The sequence below is a fragment of the Homo sapiens genome, chromosome 16 (genome assembly GCF_000001405.40).
Source record: "Homo sapiens chromosome 16, GRCh38.p14 Primary Assembly".
In the NCBI taxonomy this organism is placed as follows: Eukaryota; Metazoa; Chordata; class Mammalia; order Primates; family Hominidae; genus Homo; species Homo sapiens.
This window is the reverse complement of record NC_000016.10, coordinates 88,855,019-88,874,795: the sequence shown is the minus strand read 5'-3', so window position 1 is coordinate 88,874,795 and position 19,777 is coordinate 88,855,019. Positions and strand designations below refer to the sequence as shown.

The window sequence follows — 19,777 nt, the reverse complement described above, 5'->3', positions numbered from 1 at the left end:
GAGCGGTTTGCCTGCTGGTGGTTCTTTCACGGTGGTAAAAATTCATTCTTTGAGCATCATAAGGATGGATCCTGTCGGGTCACCACCGGTCAGGTACCGTCTGGAACCAAGTCTGACAACAGAAACCTCGTTCTGAAAGTCAAGATAGATCGAGTCTGTCCTCCAGACATTGCCCTGGCCCCGGCACCACCTCCATTCCTCAGTGACAGGCCCAGCAAGCTCCCCAAGGTTTGCTTTTGTGGGTTTCAGAGAAGCAAGGACCGGTCTGGGATTTGGGCTCTCGGTTAAGTGGCAGAAGCGCGCCTCTCCTCCTTCCAGGGCTGCGGTTCTCCAGCTCCGAACCCACACAGCGGCAGCAGCGGACACGCCCGTGCCCACGAAGGGGACTTGCCTCCCTCGGAGGTAGACGTCCTGGGACTCTTCTCATCTCTCTCCCCCACTGGGGCTCCATCTTGTCCCCACCCACACTCCAGTGCCCTTCCAGGTGGGCAGGGCAGTTGGCTGTGGTGATCAAAGGCTCTAGGGGACAGGAAATGGGTACAGTGCTGTGGGGTAAATTGAGTCAGGCCCTCCAAGGCTGTGCAGGTGAACCGGTGGTCTCTAGAGCACCGAGCCCCAGGGCAAGTGGACCCATGGGCAGCTTCCCTGGTTACTCAGGTCCCTGGGGTCAGGACTGTGGTGGGGAGCGTGGAGGAGACACGAGTTTACTTTGTGGGCAAAAGCCTCCTCTTTTTCCCTCCCCTCCCTGGATCCTTCTTTGGGTACACACAGGTGTACCAGGGACAGTGGCATGTGCACCAGCTGGCTGCATCGATCTGGCCAGCAGCCTCCAGGGGCCAGACCACAAGGCTGAGGGTGAGACAGGCCCTGTCACCTCAGATCTTGGGAAGGGGTCAGCCCTCGAGCCAAAGATGAATGCCATCTGCCCTGCGTAGCCCCCCACCATGCACCAAGCCACCCTCAGCACGAGTGCAAAACTGGCATGAGGACCTGGCCAGAGACCAGGCAGATGGAGCCCTGTGGCCGAGGGCCACAAGGAATCAGGACAGCTGGGAAAACTGAGGCCCGGAGACAGAAGAAGGGGATGTCCTGGGTGCAATGTGTCAGGGAACCCTGGGCGGGTGTTGGCCGAGTCACGTGAAGCAAGGCAGCTCCTGCCCAGGAAGGCTCTGGGGCCCCCTCCGATGCTTCAGAGGCCCGTCTTTCTGTAGCTCATATGCCCAGGCCCTGGTGGTCAAAGACCTGACAGCAAACCAGGTGGAACCCATAGCTCTGGGGAGGGGACGGGGACAGGCGGCATTCTTGTGTTAGGGGTGGTCCCCTTGGTGGCCATGAGTACCCATCCCCATGGTTCCGACCTGCAGTCTACACCTGCAGGCATCTGCTTCTCTTCCCCCAGGCAGAGGGGGGTCTGGGCAGGGGCCACACCTGGACTGGGGAGAGTCACCCTGTCTCTACCCCTTCCCGGCTGCCACCTCCACAAGCTCACAGATCACTGGCTAGAGGCGCAGCCTGCCAAGCTGTCCTCCCGCCAGCCACTGTCAAGACAGGACCATGGCAAGCCAAACGCTCTTCAGAGCCTTTTCCTCAAACCCCAAACCAAACGGCAGCTGCATCTCCCATCCTGAGATCACAGCCAGGACAGGACAGCCGTGAGGGAGCCCAAGGCCCGGCCGGACGATGGCCTGATGGGTTAGCAGAACCAACATGACCTCTTTGGAAAGAGGCTCGTGATGCACGCCCCTCAGCCTTTGCCACTCCTCCTCACTGCTCCTTGTCCCGGCCAGCCTCGGACCCAGGAAGCCTTCCTCTGAGAGGGCCTCCCAGTCCCCAGCAGAGCCCGGCTCTGTGCTATGGCTGTGCACCCGGACGGCTCCTTCCAGTCCAGTCCTCTGACCTGAACAAGGCAGAGACCAGCGTCTCCCACGGTGCTCAAGGAGTGGGTGTTGGGAGGGGCCTGCTGAACACCCGCAAGCCCCTCTGCCTGCCAGGGCCGCCCCAGGACCTGGCCAGGGCTGAGGCTGCAGGACTGGAGGGGCCAGCCTCCCAGGAGGGCCCACGAGGCCCAGCCAGGTGGGGACAGGCCACAGAGGCCCGAGAGGTTCAGTGATGGGGGGCTGGCGGGAGAGCCGGCGGGGATGGGGGGTTCACCCAAACGACACAGTGACAGGGATCAAGATGGGCCTAAAGGGCTTCTGTTTGCCAGTTTTTCCAAATAGATCCTCAAGCTGACACCAAAGCCTGACTCCAGCATCGATCCCCATCCATCCCAGCCATGTGCATGCCGGCCCCTCCGTCCTCGTGCCGGCGCCACCCGGCCCCCAGTGACTGGTTCTTCTCTCTCATCACGTTTTCTTCTGCCCCATCTGTCCAGTATCCCAGAGATCACTTTCCCCACCCCCAGCCCCCGCCCTTCCCCCCCACCCACCCCTCCACCCCCACGCGCCCCACATGCGTGTCCTCTGTGTGTCCTCTGGCCACCCACACAGCCGTCCCTCCATCCCACCCCACCCTCTCCACCCACGGACCCCAGAGTGGCACCAGCTGCCCCCCGTCGTGTGCCAGTGACAAGGGTTGCTCCTGCCATGACCTCAGCTGTTGCCCTAAGGGAACCTGTTGGTGGGCGGCAGCCTCTTCCATACCCAGCGCAGTCCAGGACTGCTCCAGACACCTGCAGGGGCAGATAAAATTCTGCTGCAGGTGCTGTGAGCAGGTGGGACCAGTACCTCGCAACAGCTCTGGCCAGTTGGGGCCACCTGGAGCTCCAGGTGGGTGGCCGGGGCCAGGAGCACACACTGGGTGGCGGCCCACACACCTGCCCAGGGTCCCCGACCAGGGCGCCAGGGTGAGCACATTCCCTGGCAGGGCCGCGACGCTGCAGGGCCGCCCTCTCCCACTCCTTGTTTCCAGGGGTCAATGCCTGGAGGGGGTGTCCCCAGGAGAGGAGGGTGACCCCATGCAGCCTCCCCGAGACCCCAGCACTCTTGGAGCCCCACTCCTCGGGGTGTACTCACAGGTGCCAGGCTCCCATTCCCTTTCCTGGGATCCCAGATGGCTCAGAGTTGAGTCCTTACGGCCTGAGACTGGGGACTTCTGGGAACAGACCTGCCTGGATAAATTCTGCCAGGAGTGATGGGTGCTCCCCAGGGTCCTCTGCAGCCTCCCTGCCCTGCATCCCCGAGCCCCGGGGCCTATTTCCTCCCACACTGCCCTGCAAGCTCCCACACTGAGGGGGTGCTCTCCAAAATGGGGCTGGGGCCCTGGATGATGAGCGTGCTGGCCGGAGAGGAAGACAGTGAGGAGAGGGGGGAGTCCATGGGGCTGGCCTCCCAGAGGCCCGCCAGCTCCCGTGCACACTTCAGAGATAAGGCCAGGGCGCTGCTGACAACCCCTGCTCCATTTTCCCGAAGTTCTAGGAAACTCCATTTTGGACACTTTCTGTTCTTTATGTTTCAATCCAGCCAAGCCCCGGAGTAGCTTCCCAAAGACCCAGAGGAACGGGAACTCAGCGTCAGTACTCAGAGTGAAACCTGCTTTTGAAATACGTCAATGACGGCAACAGGCCTCCCTTGTCCCCACCTGGCTGGGGTGGGGAGCCCCGCCAGGCCAGCTGTCAGCTCCCCAACCCCATCTGCCAGGGCCGAGGGGGTCGGGCCGGTGAGGACCAGGCGGGGGCACAGCCATGTGCAGCCTGGTGGGGAGGGGACTTACTCTCTACTTTCTCCTCCTCTTTTTTTTGACTCTCCCAGAGGAGTTGAGTTGTTTTCTGTAGTTGTGAGAAGCCCATGCCCTGGGTCTGCAGGCTGTGCAGGGCTGCGAGGTGGCCCTCGCCGCTCCGTCTGACGTACTATGGGTTTGGCCTGTAGATGCTGTGAGATGCAATAGTCGGGTTAGCGCCGTGTCCGTGTAATAAAGCGAACGTTCGCTGTCGCCTGGCTGTTCCTCTCCTTGGGTCCCAGGAGGCTTCGGCTGAGCCTCGTCTCACCCGTGAATTCACTAATTACCTGCTGGGGCTCCTCCGTGCCTGGTAGGGCGGGGCCTCCCCATGCACCACGCACACTGCAGGGACAAACAGGCCAGTGTGTGACGTGGGGCTGGGGCGACGGGGAAGAGGCAGGGCGGGAGCACGACGGGGAAGAGGCAGGGCGGGAGCACACAGGCAGGGAGGAGCAGCAGCCCCAGCCACGAGGGTCCCTGCAGGGCTGGCAACGGCTGAGCCTGCAAAGGGGACTTTGGGGGGGTCCCAACAACTTTACACCCGGGAGATGGTCCTGAGGATTCCAAGACTGGAGCCCCTGCCTGAGCAGCCCCACCTCAGACAGTGCTGGGGCTGGGGCCATGACACCTCCGACCCCGATGGGGGACACAGGGGACCTCAGGGGACACAGACAACACTGAGGGGAGGCCAGGCACGGTGGCTCACGCCTGTCATCCCGGCACTTTGGGAGGCCGAGGCGGGTGGATTGCCTGAGGTCAGGAGTTCAAGACCAGCCTGGCCAACATGGTGAAACCCCATCTCTTCTAAAAATACAAAAAATTAGCTGGGTGTGGTGGCGGGTGCCTGTAATCTCAGCTACTTGGGAGGCTGAGGCAGGAGAATCCCTTGAACTCAGGAGGTGGAGGTTGCAGTGAGCCGAGATCGTGCCACTGCACTCCAGTCTGGGCAACAGAGTGAGACTCCATCTCAAAAAAAAAAAAGAAATGAAAACTGAGGGGACACAGGGGACCTGAGGGTGGACAGCACAGGAAGGGACGGCTTGCCCCTCTCAGCCACCCCCATGGGGCCCTGGTGTTGGGTCACACACGGATCCTGTCTGGAATAGGAGTTGTCCTGGGCGCTGGGGCCCCAGGGGCCAGGCTGCCATGAATCCTCAGGCCCGGCTCTGGAACAGGGTGTATTTGAAGAGTGTCACTGGAAAGGCCAGGGTCGGAGCCGTCTGTCCCCTGCCAGGCAGCTGGCAGGAGCCCTGGCCGGGCCTTGTGTGTCAGCAATCTCAGACAGGGTGAGGATGACAAGGTTTTCCATGGCCGGGGCCCGAGCTCAGAGGGGCATGCGTCAGGGCCTGGGCCGAGTCCAGCAGACTCTGGTCTTGGATGGAACTGGTTGCAATCCTGCCTCTGACAGGGAGGTGGAGGCACGGGTGCTGGCAGACCCTCCAACACACAGGCACAGACACACGGGGCAGGGGGCTCCATCCCAACAGGAGGATCCCAGGCTGAGGCCGCACTCCACCCAGCGTACCTGTCCTCGGTGCAGATGTGGGCGCTGCCCCTGAGGAGCTTTGGTTTCTAAGGGGAGAGCTGGCCAAGTCATCAACACTGGACGGACAGCAGGAAAGGCGTGAGGACAGCGGCTCTCGAGGGAGGAGGAGCAGCCCGGCAGCCCTCCCGGAAACAGTGGCACCGTGTTCGCAGGGGGAACAGCGTCCAGGGACCACGCACACGTAAGTGTGTGGCTGTGCGGAGCCAGGGAGAGGGGAAGGGGCGTCCAGGGCCATAGCCAGGTTCCAGACAAGGCCCATTCCTCCCCGACCTCATGAGCCTGCCCCAGAAAATCCTCTGGGTGGTGAACAGATGGGGTGACAGCATGGTCTTCAGTCAGCCTCCTGGAGGTGGGAAAAGAAAACAGAATTTCGGGACCTAAAACGCACTAAGCCAAAGGGAAAAGTCAAGCTGGGAGCCGAATCACACACACCTGCCTCCCATTTTCTTCCTAATTGGACAGCCACGAAGATGAAGAAGCCTGTGCCTCCTCGCATCGCGCTTACAGGGAAATTCCTTGTGGGTCCCAAGATCTTGGCTCTGAAACAGTTCTGCTGGATCCCACCCAGATAGTGTGATCTAGCAGCTTATCTTCCCAGGTATGGGACAAAGGACAGAGCTAACGTTACCCTCCGCTCACCGGAGGCGAATGCGAACCTGCCAGCTTCCTATTCCCTGTGGCAGTTTTATCTTCTGTGGAAACGCAGAGTCGCTGAGCGTGGGGCTACGTAATTCTCTTCTCTACCCCCACCTTCCACATTTCAAAATGTGCATTTGGTGACTGCCAATCAGAGATTCAAAGGAACGCTACCACTTGCCTTTTATCCGCCCTCCCTTTTCTTTCCTTCCTGTGTTCCCCTCCTGCCCGCTCTTTCCCTTTAAGTATAAAAGTCTCCAAACCCTCTTTGGGTTTTTTTGTTTTTGTTTTTTGAGACAGTCTCACTCCGTCGCCCAGGCCGGAGTGCAGTGGCGCGATCTCGGCTCACTGCAACCTCTGCCTCCCGGGTTCAAGTGATTCTCCTGCCTCAGCCTCCCAAGTATCTGGGATTACAGGCGCCCGCCACCATGCCTGGCTAATTGTTTTTGTATTTTTAGTAGAGACAGGGTTTCACCATGTTGGCCAGGCTGGTTTTGAACTCCTGACCTTAAGTGATCCGCTCACCTCGGCCTCCCAGACTGCTGGGATTATAGGCGTGAGCCACCATGCCCGGCCTCCAAACCCTCTTTGGAAAAAGCAGAGCACAGATGTTGCCTGTGGCTTCGTGTTTCTTTTTCCTGGGTGCACCCTTAACCTTGGCAAGATACACCTCTAAACTGATTGATTGAGACCCATCTCAGACACCTTCTGGCTTTTACAGAGGTGAGAACAGACTGGGTGCAGGAGCCTGGGTTCCCAGGCTGTGGCAGCCTCCATGTCCACCTGCTCCCCGAGCCCCCAGCCCAAGATGGAGGAAGGGCCGCCCTGCGTGGGTGGTGCATGGTGCAGCAGTGCAGCTCCAGCCTAGGCCACGCCCTGTCTCTCTCTCCTCCCCCAGTCCCAAATTCCCAGGAATCCCAGCCCCACTGGCTAAACACCGGGGTGCAGTCACAGAGAGGATGGCCTCGGCCTGGGGGTAGGAGCTGTGCAGGGGGCCCCGTCTCCCACCACCAATGGCAGGGGTAAGAGCCATGCATGACCCCCTGGCCCCGAGTCCTTCACAGAGTGGGTGGGAGACGGCAGCACTGGAGATGAAGGCCAGAGCAGACTCCAGCAGCCGCGGTGGCAGGTGCAGAGGGAGGCGCAAGGGCGGACACGGGTCACCTCCTGCTGCAACCCTGCATGGGTGAAGCCAGGTGCAGACACCACCGGATGCCCACTGAATTCCGCCACAGTAACTCACGCCGTCACTCCCCACGGAGACCCCGCCCCACAATAACTCACGCCGTCACTCCCCACGGAGCCCCCGCCCCACAGCAGAATAATTCTGGCCTCATGGAAGTGGCTCCCACCTAAAAGATGACCCAGACCAGGTGCGGTGCTCACGCCTGTAATCCCAGCACTTCGGGAGGCCGAGTCGGGCGGATCACCTGAGGTCAGGAGTTCGAGACCAGCCTGGGCAACATGGTGAAACCCTGTCTCTACTAAAAAGACAAAAAAAATTAGCTGGGCATGGTGGCAGGTGCCTGTAATCCCAGCTACTCAGGAGGCTGAGGCAGGAGAATCACCCGAACCTGGGAGGCAAAGGTTGCCGTGAGCCGAGATCGCGCCACCGCACTCCAGACTTGGCAACAAAGCAAGACTCCTGCCTAAAAAAAAAAGAAAAAAAAAAAAAAGGCCCAGAATAAGGGTTAGGGAGGCAAGGGTCCCTGGGGACTCCATGGGGGTCAGGATGCAGAGACAGCTGTTGCTGCCCCTCCTCTGGGCCCAGGACCCCGCCCCAACCTGCCTCGGCCCTCTCATCCCATGCACCTGCTCTCGGTCTCTGCTCAGGCCCTGCCTCTCCTGGTCGGAAGCCACCTCTCCAGCCTGCTTGGTCCCTGGTACTAGAAGAAACCACTCCCGTGTTCCCACTTAGATCGAGTGTTCATGCAGTGTGGCGTTCGTGCCGTGTGGATGCTGCTGAGGTGTGAACCCTGTCACAGACCAAGGCTCCAGTGAGCCACAGCGTGGCCAGGCGGAAGCAGAAGAGACCGGTGACCCCCACTCAACTCAGCCTCTCCTTCCTCCAGGGAGAGTGTCCTGGAGGTACCTGTCCGAGTGACAGGGAAGGGGCGGGGCCGGGAGCCAAGGCTGGAAGCTCAGCCCCACTCAGCCTTTGCAAATGCTCTAGTGGGAGCAGCTGGCCTCAGGGGAGGGCTTAAAACTCCAGGAGAGCCTGGGCAGGTGCGGACGCGAGGGGAGTGGAGGGGAGGCCTCGCCTGGCCCACCTTCCTCCTGCCCCTCTACCATGTGGCCCTTCCCGAGCCGCTCTCTCTTCCCACCCCCGACTCAGGCCTGGCTCCAGACGGTCTCCTCAGACCCTGAGGCCCAGGGCTGGGGGGCCTGGAACGAGACCAAGGAGATTCTGGGGCCAGAGGGTGGGGAAGGGAAGGAGGAGAAAGAGGAGGAAGAGGATGCAGAGGAAGACCAGGATGGGGATGCAGGCTTTCTGCTGTCTCTGCTGGAGCAAGAGAACCTGGCTGAGTGCCCATTGCCTGACCAGGTAACAGCTGTGTGGAGGCCCTGGGGATCTCAGGGGACCTGGGGCACAGGGGCTGGTGGAGACACGGGGTCTGGGTGACGGATGGCTGCAGCTGACTTAGGAGGGGAGAGGGCCATTGCCCACCTGCCTGGACGAAGGTGGCAAGGAGACCCCCCGCCCCCAGCCACACAGACTGCAGGGTCAAGGTGGCCTCTCTCGCCTGGGGAAGGGCCCTTGAGGTGCGGTTTCGGGGGCTTCTCTGCAGGGGCGAGTTCATCCCCAGCCAGCTGCCCCAGGAAGGAGTGTCCCTGTCCAGAGAAGGGCTGCCCCTTGGGGCTGTGACCCTCTGCTGGAGCTGGCAGGCCACACACCCACCTTCCTTGAGCAGAGCCTGCAGGCTGCCTGCCCGGCTCAGGGCCGTGTGTCGGCAGGAGCTGGAGGCCATCAAGATGAAGGTGTGTGCCATGGAGCAGGCCGAGGGGACGCCACGGCCTCCAGGAGTGCAGCAACAGGCCGAGGAAGAGGAGGGCACCGCGGCCGGGCAGCTGCTGAGCCCTGAGACCGTGGGTAGGAACCAAGGGCACAGGCCGCCCCCCACTGAGCAAGGGTCCCACAGTTTCCATTAAGGTTGGGCCTGGCAGGCTCCAAGGTGTCACCTCCCCTATAAGCCTGGGCGACCTTCCCCGTGAGAGGAGTGAGGAAGGAACCAAGGGCCTGCGGGCCTGAGCTGTGTTCTCCGCAGGCTGCCCCCTCTCTGGGACCCCCGAGGAGAAGGTGGAGGCTGACCACAGATCCGTCTACGTGGGCAACGTGAGTGGTGGGCGGGGTGAAGGGGCAGGCAGCGAATGGGGCCCCATCTCTACCAGAGGGTCTGGCGCCCGGCCATGGGCCAGGCAGCCTTGCTGGGAAGGGGGTCTGACCCTGGGGGCAGCCCCGTCACCTTGAGGAAACACTGGCCTGGGCACATATTCCAGTTTTTCAACATGAGCTGGAATTCGGGGTTGCACATGAAATCTCCACTTTTGAGAAGCTTTTTAAAAGGCTCCAGCTCTCCAGAAGGAAGCGCTCCATACGAGATATCCTTTCCTCTCTTCCCTCCAACCCCAGCGGGGGTGTGGGGTGGAGGCCTGGGGCCATCCCCGCCACGGGGCCCAGCCTTGGGGTTTCTTTCCTCACCTCTAACAAGAAGGCCCCGAGTCAGGGCCAGGCGTCTCCCTCACATGCTGGTCTGGGCCTGGGTGCAGGTGGACTACGGGGGCTCCGCCGAGGAGCTGGAGGCCCACTTCAGCCGCTGTGGGGAGGTCCACCGAGTCACGATCCTGTGTGACAAGTTCTCTGGACACCCCAAGGGGTCAGTGTGGGGCCTGGTGGGGGCACTGGCCATGCGGACAGGGCCCAGCCTCACCCCTCCCCTCCCTGCCCCTCCCCTCAGTTATGCCTACATAGAGTTTGCCACCAAGGGCTCCGTGCAGGCCGCCGTGGAGCTGGACCAGAGCCTCTTCCGGGGCCGGGTCATCAAGGTGCGCCGGTGCTCCCCAGGTCCAGGAACATGAGCGCAGAGGGGCTGGCCCACTGGCCCTGGGACACACAGCAGCCCCAGCTGGCTCCTCTCTGCACAGCGTGTCTCAGGCACGGTGCTTGGCTGGGCCTGGACAGGATGTGGCGGGACCCTCGGACCTGAAGCTGGGTTTGGTCTGCCAGTGGCATGGTGGGGAAGTGTCCCCTCTCGGGCGGGAGCCCCCTCTGCAGGGGTGCTGGCCGTGACCCCCCCCTCTGCAGGGGTGCTGGCCGTGACCCCCCCCTCTGCAGGGGTGCTGGCCGTGACGGGGTGTCATATGACAGCTATGGTAGGCAAAGGCAGGGAACCCTGTAGGCCCGAATGGTATCCTGAGCCGGGCAGGACCCCATGCTCCGGGGTGGTGGGGGCTGCGGGGGCTGTGAGCTGGGTCTCGGCTGCTCCTTGAGGAGGACTCAAAACAGGCCTTTGCTCCAGGTGCTGCCGAAAAGAACCAACTTCCCTGGGATCAGCTCCACAGACCGCGGGGGCCTTCGAGGACACCCAGGCTCCAGGGGGGCACCCTTCCCCCACAGCGGCCTCCAGGGCAGGCCCCGGCTCAGACCACAAGGGCAGAACCGGTGAGTGGGTGCCTGTGGGGGCAGCCTGGGGGCGAGGGCCATGGTGGAGGGCATCAGGGGCAGGAGGGGGTCCCTGAGCTCGTTCCTCATGGGGCTGCAGGAATGTACCTGGCGGGGCCTGGGTGAGGGCTGTGGCTGCTGCATCAGCTGGTGGGGGGGGCGCTTTTTGTAGCCTCTCTGCTGGGAGAGGTGACCCCTTCTTGTTCCCACAAAGGCCCCAGGGTGGGCTACAGCTGCCCCAAGGGGCTCTCCTGGCACTGCCTTTCCTTTTCGTGGGACCCTCCCAAGAGAGCAGCTGGGAGTCACCAGAAAGGCCCCTGGGGCATTGCCTGAGCAGCCAGGTGACCTCCCTGCATCCTTATCCTGTTGTCCCCCGGGGCCCTGGGCCACCACCCCTTCTCCTCTGGAAGGCCACTCAGTGTGTGTTCTCTCTCCGTGCAGGGCCCGTGGAAAATTCTCACCATGGTTTTCACCGTATTAAAGGGAAGACCCGATTTTGAGAGAGGGGCTGGGGCCTGGATCAGGAGTAAACCACTTGTGCTCCATCCTGGGGCTGGGGCAGGGAGTGGCGCGGGGGCGAGGCCAGAGGAGAGGGGTGTCCAGAGCAGCCACTGGCCCCCTCTTGGCGGGGGGATGGCCCAGTAGGGCCTTGTATGGTGGTCCAGACCCAAGGCCACAGCCACGAGTCACAGCCACGGCCCGGTGGTGAGCCTGGCATGGGCCCCACGGGGATCTGCGGGGCTCTGGGTGTTGAGGGAGGGGAGGAGCAGAGTCCCAGGCAGTGCCAGGCCAGCTTGGGGTTGGCATGCTCAGCTCTTCAACTAAGTCATTTTAAGAAAAATAGAAACGTGTGTCTTAATGGTGAAGCATAAATTATTAAACTTGGGCTCTTTTTAAAAGCAAATGGCAGCAGCACTCCTGTGCATTCCCCCCATGGACACAGTTCCCTTTGCATCTCTCCCTGGGACGGGACACGCGGTTCCCTCCGCGTCTCCCCGTGGGACGGGGCGCGCGGTTCCCTCCGCGTCTCCCCGTGGGACGGGACACAGAAGGCGGCTGGCGAGCCGTGGCTGTGGGATGAGGACAGGGCTCCAGACCCCTCGCGACTGACAGCAAGCGGGCAGCGTGCACAGGCTGAGGCGGTGTCAATGCCACTGCCAGCCTGGTGGGCTGCAACTGCCTGTCAAGGTGCCCCCACACCTCGTAACCCTGCCACATGTCCCCCACCAAGTGACACAGACACCCGGGACGCTGGCCCTTGTCAGAAGCTCAGGAAGCAGAAGTGGAGGTCTCTGTCCTGGGCACTTTGACGACTGTCCCCTCTGAAAGCACAGCCAGTCGGGCTCCCTGGCTGCATGCACGGCCGCAGAAGCCCAAGGCTGCTTATGTGCACACACCTGACTCCAGCATTCCACGACTAACAGCGCCTCATCAGGCACTGTTTCCTTGGGCTTAAAATGGGGATGCTGCCTAACAAGGCTTGTGAAAACGCCCTCATGTAAAAAGTACTTACAGGTGGGTCTGGCTGCACCTAACAGAAAACCCAAAAATCAGTGGCTTAAACCAGAGAGGGGTGCATTTATTTTCTCACATTAAAAAAAAAGCTGAATTTAAGTAGTCTGGGGCTGGTATGTCAGCAAAGGCCCAGGGTCCTTCCCGCGTTCTGCGTCAGCAAAGGCCCAGGGTCCTTCCTGTGTTCTGCTCCACTGTCCTTAGGGTGTGACCCTTTCCTCACGCTCTCAGGACAGCTGTCCCAGCACCAGCCATCACATCCATGTTCCAGGCAGGAAGAAGGCAAAGGGGAAGGGTCCTGCATGTGGCAGCTGAGTCCCCTTCACAGGAGCTTCCCTGCAAGTCTCTCCCAGCACCACCCACCTCCACGCCACAGCTGCACACCCCGGGCTGCAAGGGAGCCCAGGACATGGCTCTCGTCTGCCCGCTATTGGAACTGGGCAGAGGCACCGGGGTTCTGTTAGTACGGAGGAAAGAGAATGGACGCTGGGTTAGCAACTTGCAGAGTCCCCACCACAGCCAGGACTCGGGCAGGAGTGATCCCCACTAAAAGGCAAAGATTTCATGCCAGGCTGCAATGGGGAAGTGCTTGGGCTGGGGTCCCACCTTCTCCTAACAAACATGAGGCTCTTGTTAAAGATTTAACCTTGTGAGAGTGGTCTGTGGCCCACATGCACCCAGATCAGCTGCCTGGTGTGCCTCGGCCCATTCCAGGGCTTCCAATTCACCCTGGGGCGGGGGAGGCCTGGGGCATGCAGTTTTCCCACACTCCTTGCTGATTTTTTCTTCTATAATTTCTAAAATTAACACTGTGCTTGCTAGATGGGATGAAAAGGCAAATATGTATCAAGAAAGTTCCCCTCCCTAGGTCCTGCCCTAGGCTGACCCCCCCTTACAGCCTTTCCTGCTGCAAGGGCTTCTGGGGTCCTCAAGGTCCTTGAGAAACTCTCCAGTCCTGGACCAGTGCTGGAACCAACTCCGGGGGGGTCCCCTCAGCGGGCTGAGCCTTGACCGCTGGACCCCAAGGACGCCGGCGGCACTGACGCCACTATGGGCTCGGCCGCTGCCCTGGGTGGTAGTCAGCCACGTCATCAAGTGACACAGCACCCAACCCCCTCAGCACCAACAGGCAGGAGGGGGTGCCTCAAGTCTGCGCTCCAAGGTTTAGGACCAGGGCTGCAGCTGAGCCAACGCCGCGGGGCCACGAGGCTTCCCAGGTTTCACAAGGGCTCCTTTTAAGGCCGGGCGGAATCCAGACATTGAGCCAGATGCAAAGAATGGAGGCCAAGTCCAGAAAGAGGAGGGCCCTCCCCTGTGGGAAGCCACGCCGGCTCCCCTTGTGCCCCTAGATCCTAGGCTGGTTCTGGGCTCAGGAGGCCACCCCCTCCAGACCAGCCCACCTGTTCAGCCAGTGGGTGACCCACATGGTCACAGGTCCTGCAGGCTCAGGAACTCTTGGCTCCAGGCACCCCTGCCTCTGCCCCTTTGGGACAACTGAGGACAGGCTACCTGCGCCATCTGATCCCAAACCTCTGCCCACACCCCAGAAAAGTCCTTAGTTGAATTCTTCTTAATTAAATCCTTGGCTGACACGGAAGGAAAAAGCCAAATCTCCTCTCACAAGACCTTTAGTTGAGAGAACATGCACAGCTGCCTGCCCTGAAAGCCCCAGGCGTCCCATTCAGGAAGAGGCAACCAGAACAGACCGACGGCCCCACCACAGTCGTGCGCGGGCTCCTCTGCGATGGCTGGCAGCACAGCTCACTCAGCACACCTGTATCATCATCGACGTCACCATGTTATCAAAGGCCCTGCTAAGAGAAACAGACCCACTCAGAGGAGAGCCAGGCCCTCCACCCCTCTGCTCAGAGACGGGCCGGGCAGCATGGCTCCATCCACAGGATGCTCGGGACCTTCTCCAGGGTCCAGAAATGTGAACTCCGCTGAGAGGCCAGGACAGGAGTCCCACCCCACCGGGCACTGAGAACCCATCTGCTGCCTCCAAGTTCCCTGTGCAGCCTCCCAAGGCCCCAGGAAGGGGTGGAGGAGGGAGCAGCATGGGCAGGCAGAGCGGTGGTGTGGCAAGGATGGCCCTGTGCAGCCCAGGAGGCAAGACTGTGGACATTCGCCTGCCTGCTCCCATCTGGGACCAGGATGGCCCCAAGACAGTGTCCTGGTGGAGGGAGGGGCCTGCCTTGGATCACTGCAGCGTCCTCTTCCCTGCCAACCACAGGGAATTATGTCTTGGAACTGGGGACTCACTGAAAGCAAGTCTGGAATGTGGGCATGGACCCCACATTTCCCTCATGATGTTCAAAAGTTAAATCTGTTTACTTTGTGGACTATTCGGAAGACACCTGCAAACCAGGTTCCTGACTGTTCCAAATTCAACATAAAAGATCAGGTAGCTACAAAAGGACGTGTGATCCCTGAAAGCCACTGCCCATGTGCTTGGCCCTGAGTCCTGCAGGTGCCCCAGGTACCCACTGGGCACACCTGGGAAGCCAAATGGGCAAGCTCTACTCCCCACACCACACACACTCTATCCACTTTATGCGCTGGAGATCTGTGTAAGAGTTGGTGTGGAGAAACGGGGCTTTGTGGCTTTAAAACCTCTGCCCTAGGGGGATGGTGCTCATAGCTTAAAAAGATCTTTCCTCCCTTATTTTCCAAATGGTTGCATTTTGGCAACCAAAATGGCAAGGCATGTCCTACAGAAAGAAGGTGGCAAGACACAGAAAGTAGGGCCCACCTGGACTGGATGCGGTCCCCCGGGTTGTAGAAGGGGTTGCACATCACGTCTGTGTAGGAGTTGTGTAGCTTCCGGAACATCTGAAAAAGACCCAGCAAACCATGACCTTGCCACATACACACAGCCACTGCCAGATTTTTAGTTTCTCAGCATTTCAAAACAAAGTCAAAAAGGAAAAACAAAACACCCACTCGGGCGTGGCCCTCTAACTCCCTGACTTACGCTGCGAATTTCGTTGTCTCGAAGGGCTGTGTTGGAGGAATCTACCACCATGACAAACTTCACCTTGGAGTTGGTGACGTAGCCGTATCTGCACAGCTGGTTAGGGAAGGCACTCGTAACACAGGGACTGCCGGTGGAGGGCCCTCTGTGGGCCCTCACTTTGGAGAAATGTGGCAACCTTGAATCACAGGAAATGCCCATGCTGGGCTGGTCCTGCAGTGGCCGTGCTGGGTACAAGCCTAAATACTTTGCTAGGGCGACGTCTGGTGTTTGCAGGAGAAGCGAAGAGCAGGCAGCCAAGCCTTACCCAGTTCACACTCCAGGAGCCGAACCACCTAGACTCCGAGTCTGTCTGTCTGGAACACCTCACCCTCTTCATGAATCAATGCCTGGCCCGGAAAGTTAACTGCAAAACCAGAGGCTTCGTGAACAAGGCGGATCCCCTCTCTAGAGGCCACATTATTTTGTAAAATAGTGGCTACTAGCAAATGTCACCATGGACAGGCTACATGATGACTTTTGGGAAGGTCTTTGAATTCCATGGCCTCAAGTGATTTGTCCCAAGGGACTAGACGAGTGTCTAGTGACATAAGAGGCAAGGCCTAATGAAATAAATGAAACTATTATCCCCTGCTCAAAGGTGGTGGCTCCCCCTGAAAAGCACAGAAAGAAATCCTTGCAGGTACAAAGCAGAAGTGTCCCACTTCCTCTGCAAACCAGACAACGGACACGTGCAAACCAAAACATTCTACGGGGAATTCTAGCCTTGCTTTTCCCAAATGGCTCTTCCAATGAAAGAGAAGAGTTACAGGCCTTCATTCACCTCAAGCTACCCTAATTCCCTGGCTGGCTAAAAACTCTCACCTCTTTTTCTTCTAAAAGGTTTCAAGTTATCTGATCCTAAAGTACATCTTGCAACTGTAGGTCCTCCCTGACACACACCCTGCCCTGAAAGATACACCTTGTAGTCCTCCGTGGGGTAGAGCAGGCCCAGGTACAGCTCCCTCTGGTCGACCAGGGCCTTCCCCATTGCGGAGATCTTCTCATCCACCACGTCCAGAGATGTGTGCACCATGTAGTGGAACTTCAGCTCGTTCTCCGTAGGGGTGCTGCGAATGTAGAGGGGGTAATTCTGCAAGAAAGGATGACGGCGACTGAAAGGACAAGACTCCACCCAGCGCACACCAGCTCTGAACTATGCTGCAGAGCCGTGACCTGCAGCCACCCGGGGAACGCATTCCCATGCTCTAAGGCCCACCGCTTCATTCTCTATGCCGCAGTGGGCACTGCCTTCAGGGGATCCCAGCTAACCTAAGGAGATTTATGTGTTGTTTGCAAAGCAGCAGCAGTAGGGTGGGCGGAAAAGAAAAAATGAATCAGAAAAATGGGCCTGAGCACAGCCTGCCGATCAAGCCTGGCACCTGGGCACGCCTCTCACCTTCTCCTGGAGGCCACTCTGCCTCAGCCCACCTCTAACTCTGCATGGCTCACCCAAATACAGCACCCTCAATACTGGCTTTTCTTCACCTTGACAGTGACCCTTTTACTAAACCCTTCAAGACTCAGCTCAAATTCCCTTCATCTCTGCATTTCTGACCATTGGAAGCCCAGAATTAACAGCTTCTTTCTCGGTCTTTCACACACCACCATTTACCCTGTGTGTGTTCAGCACTGGGTCCTGCACAAATACAGTGAACAAGAGTCCTCGCTACCCTCGTGGGGAGTGATACCTAGTCAATAAACCCACAAACAAGCAAATGATCATCTTGGCCAAGAGGGAAGCCCATGAGCAGCTTAGCAGCAGCCACCGCCCAGCAGGGAGCGGTCTCGAGTCTGGTCTCGGGAGACCCTGGCTAGGAAATGAAGGCTCCGTGCAGCAGGAGCGTGTGGGCAGCCACCCAGCTCAGTCTTAGCCTTCAGAAAATGCTTTCCAGTTGAAATGTATGTGGGCCAGTAAAGAGGATGGGAGCTGGGGAGAGGTGTTCCGCGTGCAAAGGCCCACAGGTGAGAGGGCAGAGCATGTCCAGGGAGCTGCAGAATTGTTTGGTTGGAGCGGAGAGTGCCAAGGGTTATGGGGGGAAAGGATCCCAGAGCAGGTTATTCAGACAGCATCCTAAGGCAACGAGAAGCCACTGCAGAGGTCTCAGGCAGAGGCGTGACAGGATCCGATTTGTTTTTAACTCGGCTCCGGGGAGACTGGCAGGAGGGCCGGGGCCGCCGTCCGCGGGGAACCAGCGCTGGACGGGAGAACGGGCAGAACCTGCTGAGGACGGAGGACGGAGGTAGTGCCCGGGACCACCTAGGTTTCTGGTGGGTCCTGGCGGGGAGGAGACCTGCTGCGCCGAGGGGTGCGTTCAGCAGCGGGACGGGCGAGCGCGGAACTGGGGTCTCAGTCAGGGTCTGCCTGGCGGCTCGTCCACCGCGAAGCCCCTGACCGCTGGAGCTCGGCGAAGGCCTCCTCCAGGTCCCATTTCCTAAGGTGCCTTCTAAGCCCAGGGAAGAAGTAGAAAGAAAGCGGAGAGCCGAGGATGGTGCGAGCCCGGACGCCCCACGCCGCGCGTACGCACCTCCTTGGCAATCACCGCGATGCACACCGCCATCTTGGGAGGCTCGGCGCCAGGCACCGCGTCACGTGACCCGCCGCTGGTCACGCGGCCTCCAAAGCCCCGCCCCATCCGCACACAGCTGGCTCAGGCCCCGCCCCACTGGTCACGAGGCAGTCCAGGCCCCGCCTCCCGTCCCTCCGCGGACTCTGGCCCCGCCCCGCGAGTCACGTGGCCGTCCAGGCCCCGCCCCGCAGCCCAGCCGGAAGGGCCGGCGGACGCTCGCTAGGTCGGCTCGCTGGCCGGGGCTCCGCGGCTCCCGTGGTTGCCATGGCGGCGGTTGTCGCGGCGACGAGGTGGTGGCAGCTGTTGCTGGTGCTCAGCGCCGCGGGGATGGGGGCCTCGGGCGCCCCGCAGCCCCCCAACATCCTGCTCCTGCTCATGGACGACGTGAGTGCGGGCGGTGGGACGGGGCAGGGCCGGGGTGGGGCGGGGAGGGGAGGGGCGGATGGAGGGAGGAGCGAGGTGGGGGAAGGGCGGGCGGGGTGGGGGGAGAGGTGAGGGGAGGCCCCTTGGGGAAGGGGGGAGGCCCCGCGCGGGGAGGAGGAGGGGGAGGGGACGGGGGGTATCCCCGTGCGGGGAGGGGGAGGCCCCTCGGGGAGTGGCCGCGGGGTCCAGGCGTGGGGTCTCGGCGGTCACCGATCACCACACGCGCTGCCACTGTGCTGCATGACCGGGACAGCGTCCTCCCTGGCAGGTGGGTGGCCGGCGTGCTACCGGGCCCTGCCTCCCCCGTCTGACCTTTCCCGCCCTCTACTCTTGGGAAAGGTGGGCGCGCAGCGTGGCCTCCCCAAAGGGAGGAAGAGGCTGCTCCTGCCGCCCTGCCTGAGAGCTGCGTCGCCCTAGGAATCACTCCCGCCACCTCGGGCCGCCGGGTCCCCCCGCTGGGCTCCAGTCTTACCTGACGGCTGTCTCTGTCCTCTGGAGAATGCTGAGCGAAGGTCAGGTGTCCCTAAGGTCTGAAGAACTGAAAGGCTGGAATGTCTCCTGGTGGGCAAGTGCGGGGTCAGGGGTCACAGCCAGCCTGGAGGCCTCCTTCCCTAACTCCTTGTGGGAGCCACCTGGAGACTCAGGAATGAGCCTGCCTGGGGCATGGGTCACCGTGCAGGACCCCAGACACACCTGGGTTGAAACCCTACTGTCTCCAAGCTTGGGGGTCACTTCCATTCTTGAACCTCAGCTGCCACACCTGGGGGGTTACACCTGTCCCGCCGTGCTCACGTTGTGTGTGAGGACTGGGACGACACCGAGTACCAGACAGTTTTGGGCCGTCGGTGTCGCTCAGCCCCTGTGTGCTGGCTCCGACCAGCAGAGACCCTGACAGGTGCCTTCAGACCCACCTGTGCTGACCAGTGGGGGCCACGGGCCACACCCAAGGGCTGGGCAGTCGTGGCTGTCGGAATTGGAAGGTGCTGGTAGTGTAAAATACACAGATTTAGAAGACTTGGTGAAAGAAAAATAATGTAAAATATCTCACTTAACAATTTTATTAAATTAATGGTTTTTTAACATAAAGATATACTTGAAAAGATAACAGACACCACCCATAATTTCCCCACCCAGGGGTGACAGCCGACAGTCCTGGGCAGCTGCTTTTCCATCTCATATGTCTTATTTGTGTGCAGTGACTGCTTTCCAGAGCACGCTCTCCAGCGCCCAGGGGTCCGTGTCCTGACAGCAGTAGCCGGGCCTTTCTCTGCACTGAGTGGCATCTCCCTCCTAAAGATACTTTGCTTCAGAATTTCATCCTTTCACTTTTGAAGTTCCTCTGGGCCAGTGTAGATACTTTGTTTCAGAATTTCTTCTTTTCATTGTGTAACTCCTTCTGGGCCAGCATAGCTTCGCTGGATGAGCTGGGCTCTGCAGGTGAAGCCTCCCTGTTAAGTTTCTGCTTTTCCTGACTTTCTCAGAGGACAGAGGGGTGAGGCGGGGCAGCTCATGAATAATTTTTTATGTTGAAGACTTGTCGAAATAATATTTTGGTTATGTTGGGTTAAATAAAATATAAAGTTAGTCTGTATTTCACCTACTTCTGCTTTTCTAATGTGGCTCCCGGTAAATAGGGAATTGCATGTGGACTCACCCTACGTTTCCATAGGACAGCAAGGGTTCAGGCCGTGCAGGGTGGA

At 60.0% G+C, this 19,777-nt stretch overlaps 3 protein-coding genes and 1 long non-coding RNA gene across 26 annotated transcripts in view, besides 4 other annotated features; 3 read left to right on the top strand and 1 right to left on the bottom strand.

Moving 5' to 3' along the window:
• Nucleotides 152-304: a silencer, noted in NCBI's record as "fragment chr16:88940900-88941052 (GRCh37/hg19 assembly coordinates)". NCBI's record gives its function as "represses an EF-1alpha promoter that drives an FKBP-Casp9 reporter gene in an ReSE screen in HepG2 liver carcinoma cells {active_cell/tissue: HepG2}" and the evidence as "EXISTENCE:reporter gene assay evidence [ECO:0000049][PMID:32094911]".
• Nucleotides 3,429-3,568: an enhancer, noted in NCBI's record as "active region_11373". NCBI's record gives its function as "activates an Ori minimal core promoter by ATAC-STARR-seq in GM12878 lymphoblastoid cells {active_cell/tissue: GM12878}" and the evidence as "EXISTENCE:reporter gene assay evidence [ECO:0000049][PMID:35858748]".
• Nucleotides 4,661-11,463, top strand: PABPN1L (PABPN1 like, cytoplasmic). 5 transcript variants are annotated; one of them, XM_047434102.1, is made up of 9 exons: nt 4,661-5,444; nt 5,726-5,861; nt 7,818-8,444; nt 8,855-8,990; nt 9,166-9,233; nt 9,668-9,774; nt 9,856-9,943; nt 10,417-10,559; nt 11,001-11,463. In XM_047434102.1, exons 3-9 carry the CDS (start codon nt 8,190-8,192, stop codon nt 11,038-11,040), a joined length of 837 nt encoding a protein of 278 aa, XP_047290058.1. In that variant the 5' UTR covers nt 4,661-5,444; nt 5,726-5,861; nt 7,818-8,189; the 3' UTR covers nt 11,041-11,463. The 5 variants fall into 5 exon arrangements, with proteins under 5 accessions (XP_047290058.1, XP_047290059.1, NP_001073956.2 ...); XM_047434103.1 differs by lacking the exon at nt 9,856-9,943; NM_001080487.4 differs by lacking the exons at nt 4,661-5,444; nt 5,726-5,861 and having other exon boundaries at nt 8,136-8,444.
• Nucleotides 10,286-11,036: an enhancer, noted in NCBI's record as "H3K27ac-H3K4me1 hESC enhancer chr16:88930168-88930918 (GRCh37/hg19 assembly coordinates)". NCBI's record gives its function as "activates a minimal SCP1, AML or CMV promoter by ChIP-STARR-seq in naive H9 embryonic stem cells {active_cell/tissue: H9 hESC(naive)}" and the evidence as "EXISTENCE:reporter gene assay evidence [ECO:0000049][PMID:30033119]".
• A 654-nt stretch (nt 11,464-12,117) lies between the features above and the next one.
• TRAPPC2L (trafficking protein particle complex subunit 2L) lies at nt 12,118-18,576 on the bottom strand. 12 transcript variants are annotated; one of them, NR_134671.2, is made up of 6 exons: nt 18,550-18,576; nt 16,007-16,177; nt 15,353-15,451; nt 15,046-15,223; nt 14,824-14,903; nt 12,118-13,885 (listed from the first exon to the last, which is right to left on the bottom strand). NR_134671.2 is itself a non-coding variant. In NM_001318524.2 (5 exons), exons 1-5 carry the CDS (start codon nt 17,643-17,645, stop codon nt 13,837-13,839), a joined length of 441 nt encoding a protein of 146 aa, NP_001305453.1. In that variant the 5' UTR covers nt 17,646-17,669; the 3' UTR covers nt 12,118-13,836. The 12 variants fall into 12 exon arrangements, 10 of the variants coding, with proteins under 10 accessions (NP_001305453.1, NP_057293.1, NP_001305454.1 ...); NR_134670.2 differs by lacking the exon at nt 18,550-18,576 and adding an exon at nt 17,613-17,669 and having other exon boundaries at nt 12,118-13,882; NM_001318524.2 differs by lacking the exons at nt 15,353-15,451; nt 18,550-18,576 and adding an exon at nt 17,613-17,669 and having other exon boundaries at nt 12,118-13,903; nt 15,046-15,133; nt 16,005-16,177.
• Nucleotides 17,717-18,116: a silencer, noted in NCBI's record as "silent region_7883". NCBI's record gives its function as "represses an Ori minimal core promoter by ATAC-STARR-seq in GM12878 lymphoblastoid cells {active_cell/tissue: GM12878}" and the evidence as "EXISTENCE:reporter gene assay evidence [ECO:0000049][PMID:35858748]".
• GALNS (galactosamine (N-acetyl)-6-sulfatase) overlaps nt 17,849-19,777 on the top strand; it is a 43,214-nt gene continuing 41,285 nt past the window's right edge. For all 8 annotated transcript variants that reach the window (NM_001323543.2, XM_017023113.2, XM_047433891.1 and 5 more), the window contains exon 1: nt 17,849-18,038. Coding sequence is in view for 3 of the 8 variants with exons in the window: in NM_000512.5 (NP_000503.1) it covers nt 17,919-18,038 (120 nt within the window). In the remaining 5 variants the exon portion in view is untranslated. The remainder of the gene's footprint in view (nt 18,039-19,777) is intronic.
• LOC107983950 (uncharacterized) lies at nt 18,216-19,668 on the top strand. Its single transcript, XR_933884.3, has 2 exons — nt 18,216-18,345; nt 18,495-19,668. It is a non-coding gene; the product is annotated as an uncharacterized LOC107983950 (long non-coding RNA).